The 8621-nt window shown below is 37.9% G+C and overlaps 1 protein-coding gene across 37 annotated transcripts in view; it reads left to right on the top strand.

Annotated features, from left to right (window-relative positions):
• Positions 1-8621, top strand: part of BNC2 (basonuclin zinc finger protein 2) — a 461168-nt gene that overhangs the window by 246106 nt on the left and 206441 nt on the right. The gene's annotated exons all lie outside the window — the stretch shown is intronic.

Genomic DNA, 8621 nt, shown 5'->3' with positions numbered 1-8621 from the left:
GTAGGTTTTGCTTTCTTAGCGGAATGCAGCAGACGACTCAAGTGACCTGATCTGTTTTTAAAGCACAAGGTTTATTTGGCTGTTACAGTGTGAGTATAATATTAATGATACTAATGTAAAATTAACTTTTATGTTGTGTGAGCAGTTTTTCTTGTTTCCCCCTTTAAAATTGCAGATATTTCCTTGTGCATACATCTGGTGTTGTTGCCATAGTGAACATTTATATAACTTTGTTTAAGCCATGAAAAGTTTGGTATAATCGGGTAGTTTGGCAAGTCCACGTGAAGGTGGTTTTCGGTTTTCATAGCCCTGTGGTATGAGTCCACATGCAGTTGAATATTCATTGTATGGCCATTAATATAAATACTTCGTCTAGCTTATTAATAACACATGAAGAGACCATGCCCAGACATTCAAAGGGCAAGAATGTTTTAGTGGTTTCTGGAAGCTCCTTGCTGTGAAGAAATAAGGCTTTTAAAAAACATTGTAGTTTAGAGTTTTGAAGTAGCACTTTAAAATATTTTAAAATACATTTGGTATATCTTAAGAAATTCTTGACTAGGCTAAAACTTAATATTGAACGAAGTGATCTTTTGAGATCAATATGATTTCCAAGTTTGACATTTAAGCAAATCATGTTCTCTGTTTTAAGAAACATTAAACAAGGAGACAAAAATACACAATACATCAGTTTCTAAGGTAACATTATTTCCTACCTTCTGCTTTGCTTTTTACTGAATCCTTTTTACCTTTCCTGCTACTGATAGATCTCAAAACTGGCCTCACGGGGTTTTCCCAAAGGCTTTTGGAAAGATCCATTTACTTTATGACCCACATACATCTGGTATTAGAGCAACTATGAATTAATCCAGCCTCACTTCAGTGTTTATCTGTTATGCATTAGGAATATTTAAAAAGCAAATAATTTAAACTAATGTTTTTCTTGCATGTAAGTTAGATCCTTAAAATCAGCTACACATCATATTAACTTGAAATTTTTAAATAGTCGACTGAATTGCTTTACAAAGTGTAGTTGTTTAAGCCATTCTGATGGTTTTCTCTGCAGGCTCCTTAGCTTTGACAATACTGTTCTACTCCTTCACTTGCATCTACTTGTTAGTGCCTTTTACTTTGGTCTTTTCGTTTCTTTAGAAAGTTCTTCCTTTTGGATACATAGAATATAACGTCATTTATTGATCTCTCTTTTCTGCTACCTTTGTATTAGAATTTTAAACACGTCATGACAGGAAATAATTCAGTCTGGTACAATATGCCCTCTCTCTCCTAGTTTTTAAGTCCTGAGTCTTGTATGCCGCACTTTCAATCTCTGGTGGCTAACCTGACTACTTTGTGTCTCGTTTACTGGAATACGTCCATAAAGCAAGGATACATGTGTGTCTTACATGTCCAACAACGTATTCCAACAAAGGCTTTCAGTGAGCCAGGATGTGTGGCTTAGTTTCACCATCATTTTGGTAAAAATACATGTATTAAACAGATACTGAATTTCTGACTTGCATTTAATCTTCTCCTCCTGTTTTATGTTTTCTTTCTTTGATTCAGACAGCAAACTGATTCAAATCTTCAGTATAACCTATAAAACCAAAGGTTTATTAATATTAGGGTACCCAGAGAATAAAGTTGTTCATCGTTTTTTAACAGTAGAGAAATAAAAATAATAAGGTTTTTTTAGTATATAATTAAGCACTTAAATTGTCACCTGAAATTGTTGTTCTTTACATGCGTTTCCCTTAGCCCTTTGTAATTACCTAACACTGCCAGTTAGCGCCAGTTGTGGGAGCAACAGGCTTCTAAAAATACCCTCCTCCTGGCCTGGCCACCCACCTAAGAACCATGTGAAGAGGTGTTTTGTGAATTATCAGAAAGTTAGGTATAACTGATGCAATCTGTGCAGCTATTTCTGTCAAAAATTGTGCCTCCAAGAGGGATCAGCTACATTATATCTTGTAATTTCAGATACACTTTCTTGGATTTAGTGGAAAAACCTTCTCTGAGGCTTTGGTAACCTTCTGACCAAATGGATTGCAATCAAGTGTACCTGTGATAGTGAGCTTGAATTCACAAAACAAGCAACTCGATTCATTGCTTTGTTAATCCACATCCACTTAAGGCATAGATATTCTTTATTTGATACGTCATCTTGGTTTATTCATCATGATTAGTAAGTTTGTCTACATTAAAAATATTACACAAATCCTGAAAAATTTTAGTCTAAAAGTCATCAGAGGGAGCTATAGGTTCTTAAATTAATTGACTAATGAATAAAACCTATTTTCCTATTGGGTGTTCTTCACTGCTTCTTTTAGAGTGGGCGCAGATGAAAATGAATCATGGAGTTTAGGAATGAAAGTGTGAAAAGTAACTAGATAAAATTTTATAATTTGGGGAGCTATAAAATTTAGAATCCATTTCCTTGATTTTCATCCCTCTCATTTGGAAATGATGAAGCTCAGGAGGTTAAGAAGACCACGGTCATCACAACCAACAAGAGATTGAAATGGACAAGAATCCTAGTGTCCAGACCAGTACTGTGCAATAGAAATAATTCTGCAAGCCACATATGCAATTTAAAATTTTCTAGTAGCCACACTACAAAAGTAAAAAGAAACAGGTGAAATTGATTTTAATAATGTATTTCATTTGACCCAGTATATCAAAAATTATGATTTCCATGTATAATAAATATAAAAAATATATAATCAATATGAGTGTTTATCGAGACATTTTCTTTTCTTTTTTCATTCTGAGCCTTCAAAATTCAGTGTATTTTACACTTTCAGCACATCTCAACTTGGACTAGCCACATTTCACGTGGTCAATACCCACATGTGGCTAGTGGCTACCATATTGGATGGCTTAGGTCTAGACACCAGTCCAATTTTCTTTCCACCACAGCAGTGTAGTAGCTTTTAAAGGGTTGACTTGGATTTTCAAAGTCTTATTTTGGTTAATTTAGGAGACCTGGTGTCTTTGATATACAAGTGAAAAAGTAACTGAAACCTTATATAAGTCGTTATAATAGAAGCACATTGCTCTAGAATCATCTTTCTCATTAACATTTTTGATTCCTTGGCAAATGCTTAGTAATACTTCAAGTAAATATTTTCAAGTTACTTGTAGACTTTTTTCCTTCGTCACTTTACTCCCTGTGAAGCCATACTGTCTCAGTTTTGCTAACCACAGACACATTACAGGCAGTGTTGTGGGAGAAGAAAAAGTTTCCCTCTGTTTCTCCTTTTGGAGGTTGAAGGCAGTATACCCTGGTGCTGCCCTGGACTGAGGCTGTCCACCATCTGTGTAAGGAATTCACAATCCCAGACAAAAGAAATTGGCAAAGTCTTCCCTCTGTCTGCTCTCCAGATCCTCAAGATAGCCATAAAACACCTGGACAAAATCAGCAGGTGATGGCAAGGGAAAAAGAATGATCAGTCACAGGCGTTGTTGAATCCTTTGAACATTACTTACGGCCTGGACATTGCTGTCACCAGGCTCAATTTGATCTTGGGTGAGTTTTCTGGAAGAGCTTTATTCCCTGGCTCTGTGACAACAGCGGAACCAGATAACATTGTGGATAGAGGAGAGAAGTGGAAAGTCGAGGTTTCCCTGCCTTAAGGTATAGCAGTTCCAGGTGGTGTTACCTCTGTGTGTGTAAGAACATCCTACAGAAATAAGTCATATCACCAGATGCATAAAGTGTGCTATTTAGATCAGTGTTCTTACTGTAATCCTGCTCAAGGAGTTTAAATATTCACTCATCTACTTATAGTTTATAAATTGTTTTCAGAATGATCAGCATTGTTCATATGCTGAATTTTAAAATGTAGTTTAAAATCTGTTTTCTGCACTTAACACTGAAAAAAGGGAGTTGGCACTATGGTATTTATAGGCTTTTACAAATCTTTTCTTATGGTGGCTCTACATAAGAAACTTTGCTACATACTCATTTTGTGTCACATGGTTTGCTTCCATATCTTTTGTTTTGATGCTGTATGTAGAAGTTTCAGTAGCTACTAAGTCATCATTTGGGTTGTCTGAAATTTTTATAATGATATCAGATGGTGGCAGAATTGCATATCATGAAGTCTGGTAGTGAAGGGGCACATTTTTAATGGATCAGGAATTTAGCCATGAAGAAATAACACTTTTGCCAGTAAAAGCTCCGAGCAAAGTCCGTTAGCTGTTGCCTCTTTGTCAGTCAGTAAGAGAGTTTAATACAGTGGTATTTAGCTTTCTTTGCTGCTGCCAGTTTTAAGGGTCATATTTTAGCTCTGATCTTTATTTCCAGTGAGAGGGCTAAACCAAAGCAGAAGCAGCACTATTTAACTCGGAATTCAGAATGATTTTTTCTCTCCCTTTGGCTCTGTCTACAAATGTAGCCCTTTTTCATATCAATGGCGTCAAGCTTCATTGAATTTAGCTCTGTCTTGTTAAGTACATTAATGCTGTGTTCTGTCATTCATTACATGAGAATTAGTTGTCTATTACAAAGTGGGGGTTTTTGTTTGGAGCCTGATCTTCACGGGAAGAAGGCCATACGTGGCTTAATTTCCTGAGTGCATTGAATGCTGGACTTATTTTTCTGTGACTTGTATGTCCACTGAAAGCATCATGCAAAATGTTGATTCTACCGTTGGGAGGCCCACTGTATTTTAAGCAAGGAAACTTAAAAGAGAAGAACACTTACCACCTTTCTTTTTTAAAATCCCCTTTCCCCCATGCATTTTGTCACATTTTTCAGTGATCTATACAGTGCCCTTAGAGTGTGTTACAGAAAGTGTTAATATCTTAGAGCAGCAGTAATAATAATCCTTTTACTCAGGGTAATCATGTGCTAATCCTCTGGTAAGTCAAAAGTATTAGATCATTTGAAATTCATTGTGTCAGCTCAGTTGAAATAACTGGTATGGTGCTATAAACATTTAGAGAAAGGGAGTCTTTGAACCCAAATAATAATGTCAAATAGTTTGTTAGTGTTACATGTTCATGTTTAAGGGTTTCATAAGCTCAACCCATGGACAAGAGCATTTCAGTTTACATCAGTGTGTAATATATTATTTTAACTGAAGGTTTATTTTTATTTTGTTATTTGGGGAAAGTTTCTTTTCCTCTGGCACTTGTGGACTGGATTTTTATGGTACAGTTTTCACTCTGCAATCACAGGAAGCCTGCTGTGCCAGAAGGGTGCTTTTTGGTATTTTTTTTTTGTTTTTTGTTTTTAAAGAAAACTATTTTTGTTTTTCTAAAGCATTATGTTGGGTTTGAATTTTCTCCTTGCTCCCTTCTTTCGTATTCTTGAGAAAAACATTGATGGTGTACATATTTATTTTTCTGTGAATATTTTAACCAGGAATTTTGGCTTCATGTTTCCCTTTTCCTCCTGAACAGAGTCACCTCTTCCTTGGAATTTTTATAATTTTCTTGAATTATTCTCTTTCCCTCTCTCACTCTAAGTCCCCAGGGGATAGAGAGCCCTTAGATTCTTGGTTTTAGTGATCTTTGCACCCAGCATACCTTAGGTGTTCAATAAAGAATGCTTTGAATTGCTTCACTTATAGAAATGCTGGTAAATTTGGTGACTTAGCTAAAGTTGTTCCCATGTCAGAAAATGAATATTTTTGGTGACAAATCATTTTCATTTCTTCTTTCCTGAAAGTCGTTTGAGTTTTAGAAGGGCGCCTTTTCTTAGAGCTTCAGGACTGTTTGAGCTGCAACTGTTGTCCTCCACCTTTATGAAACCACTCAGCTGTTGACAAAGCCGGTGTTAGAGCTTCAGAGAGCACCAGCACAATTAATTGGTTTTCTGAGAATGCATAACTTAACTTAAGTAATTGTGCAATCAAGGCTCATGTGGAAAGGATGAGTATCTGTCCTTTCTGGACCTCTTGTTATCACTCCTTGTTTCCACCTGATCTTTGATTCATAGTTTTGGAGAACTTGTAGATTCTTTTATCCTAGGGTATATTAAGTACTGTAATGTGAAGTCCTACTCCTCTTTTTTGAAGATGAAATTTACAGATCTTGCTGCTGATTGCATTCTGTAAATAAAGGGAGAGCTCTGAACATGATGTTTGATGTTGTGTCCCTAGTCCGTGGCCATGCTCGATATAGCTTTCTTCCTCCTGGCGTCCTCCCGTGAACAGATTCTGGTAATGAGAAGGTTCATCATCTAAAAAGCAGTCCACAGGATAGCTTTCTCTATGCTGTTATAGAATGAACTGAAATCTACGTAGAATAGCTCTAGAGCTAAAATTGGGTAGAGAGAAGAGGTGTTAAATGCAACCTGAACATTTTTTTTCAGGGATAACCCAGCTCAGAGAATAAGGTGTCCAGATGATCTGGTTTAAGTCACAGAGCCAGTGTAGCCAACCAGTCCCCAAGGCACTGGCCTCACTGAGAGGGTAGCTGGCGTTCCATTGGGTATGGGATCAGGGATTATTGATGGCATTGTTACAGGTCTGTCAGTGAGGGCACGTAGAATAGGTAGCCCCGAAAGTTGCTTTTAGTCACCGTAAAGTGGCGCTCCATTTTAGAGTTCAGTCCAGGCATGGCTTTACTGCCATTGCTGGGAAAGTACAGCATGTCACAGTGGCAGAGAACATGGACTGTGGAGCCAGGCTGCTTAGGTTTGAATCCTGTTTCCACCACTTGTACTGTCTCTGTGATACTGGACAGGTTTCTGAAGTGTCTGGGCACCCAAGTTCATCATCAGTGAAATGGGATAATACCTACTTCCTGCATAGCTGAAGTTAATTGTGAGGATTTAATGAATGTATGGTGCCTAGAACAGTGCCTGAAACATAATAAATGCTGCATACATGTTTATGTAGTAAAATAAAACTGGGTGCTGAGAGCTGCTGATGCTTCAGAAAACCATTAGTGAAACCTAACCCCTGGAACCTGACCCTTCATTAAGGCCCCAAGGTTTTACTAAACTTTGTGCCTGCCACAAAAACCATACTTATATGTGCCTTGTATAGAAGCTCCTATAGATAATCGTGGTTTTTTTTTTTTTTTTTCCTCCATCTGTACGTAAAATTTGGAGGAGCTGGCTCTACAGGGCTTTGTGGGGATTCTCTTGGGTGACAGTGTAGCTGAGGAAACTCTACTTTGAACTAAAAATAGGGCCATTTTCATAATTCTTTTCATATTCCGCTTTGTTTTCTTTGGGTGATACATTCTTTATCAGGTATAATTTGTCATAGAATGATGTTTTCAATTGTATTTTTTCGTAACCAAAGTGATTAATTTTCAATTTACATGTGGCTAAGAAGATATATCTGATAATCAAGTTTAGTTCAAAAGTAGGTTTTTTTGTTTGTTTGTTTGTTCTATAAGAAGTACCTCATTTTGATTGCAGGGCCACGGTTAAAGTGGACTTGACAGTAAACTGAAATTTACGTTTATCGATGATGATCATGACCCCATATCAATTTCTGTGTTCTCAAATGCATTATATGGTTGTCTGAATAGTTACTCCAGATTGCCAACACTGTGATTTAAGCCTTTCACAAATTACCTGTTGTAATTCACAAAACTGGGTTTCATATTATCTGTGGCAACTATTTTTTTTAAAGATTCCTCAAAGATGTAATAATACTTGCACAAGTGGTGGCAACTAGGACAGAATGGTTCAAAACAAGAGGAAAGAACATACTATGAAATGCTATAGAGAGCCACCTACGAAATTCCCACGTGTCAGTAGAACTTCCTTCCTTCCTTCCTTTCTTCCTTCCTTCCTTCCTTCCTTCCTTCCCTCCTTCCTCCCCTCCCCTCCCATCCCTGTCTTCCTGCCCTCCTTCCTTTCCCCCTTTCTTCCTTTCTTTCATTCATTAATTTTTAATTTTTTTTTTTTTTTGAGAGAGGATCTCACTCTGTTGCCCAGGCTGGAGTGAAGTGCCACAATCTCAGCTCCCTGTAGCCTTGATCTCCTGGGCTCAAGTAGAGATTCTCCTGCCTCAGCCTCCCAAGTTGCTGAGACCATGGGGCTGGCTAATTTAAAAAATTTTTTTTGTAGAGACAGGGTCTTGCAATATTGCCCACACTGGTCTTGAACTCCTGGGCTCAAGTGATCCACCTGCCTGGGCTTCCCAAAGTGCTGGGATTACAGGTGTGAGCTACCATGTCTGGCCTCTTTTATTTTATTTTATTTTGCGAGACAGGGTCTCTCTCCGTCACCCAGGCTGGAGTGCAGTGGTGTGATCATGGCTCACTGCAGTCTCAACATCCGAGGCTCAAGCAATCCTGCTGCCTCAGCCTCCCAAGGAGCTGGGACTATAGGTATGCACTACCAGGCCCACCTAATTTATTTATTTTTTATTATGTAGAGACAGTGTCTTACTTTGTTGCCCAGGCTGATCTCCAACTCCTGGACTCAAATGATCCTCCCACCCCAGCCTCCCAAAGTGCTGAGATTATAGGTGTGAGCTACCATGCCTGGCCCGGAACATTTTCAATATGGTTATGGAAACATTATCAACTGGACACAGTTGCTTGATTTCTCAGCTTAATTGGAGTTATCTTGATGTAATGGAATTGAACAAATGTGACCATTGAGCTCTCAGACTTGGTTTTGAATTCCACTTTTTCCATTGACCAGCTAT

Source organism: Homo sapiens, chromosome 9 (genome assembly GCF_000001405.40).
Source record: "Homo sapiens chromosome 9, GRCh38.p14 Primary Assembly".
In the NCBI taxonomy this organism is placed as follows: domain Eukaryota; kingdom Metazoa; phylum Chordata; class Mammalia; order Primates; family Hominidae; genus Homo; species Homo sapiens.
The sequence above is the reverse complement of the archived record's forward strand: the minus strand, read 5'-3'. Positions and strand labels throughout refer to the sequence as shown.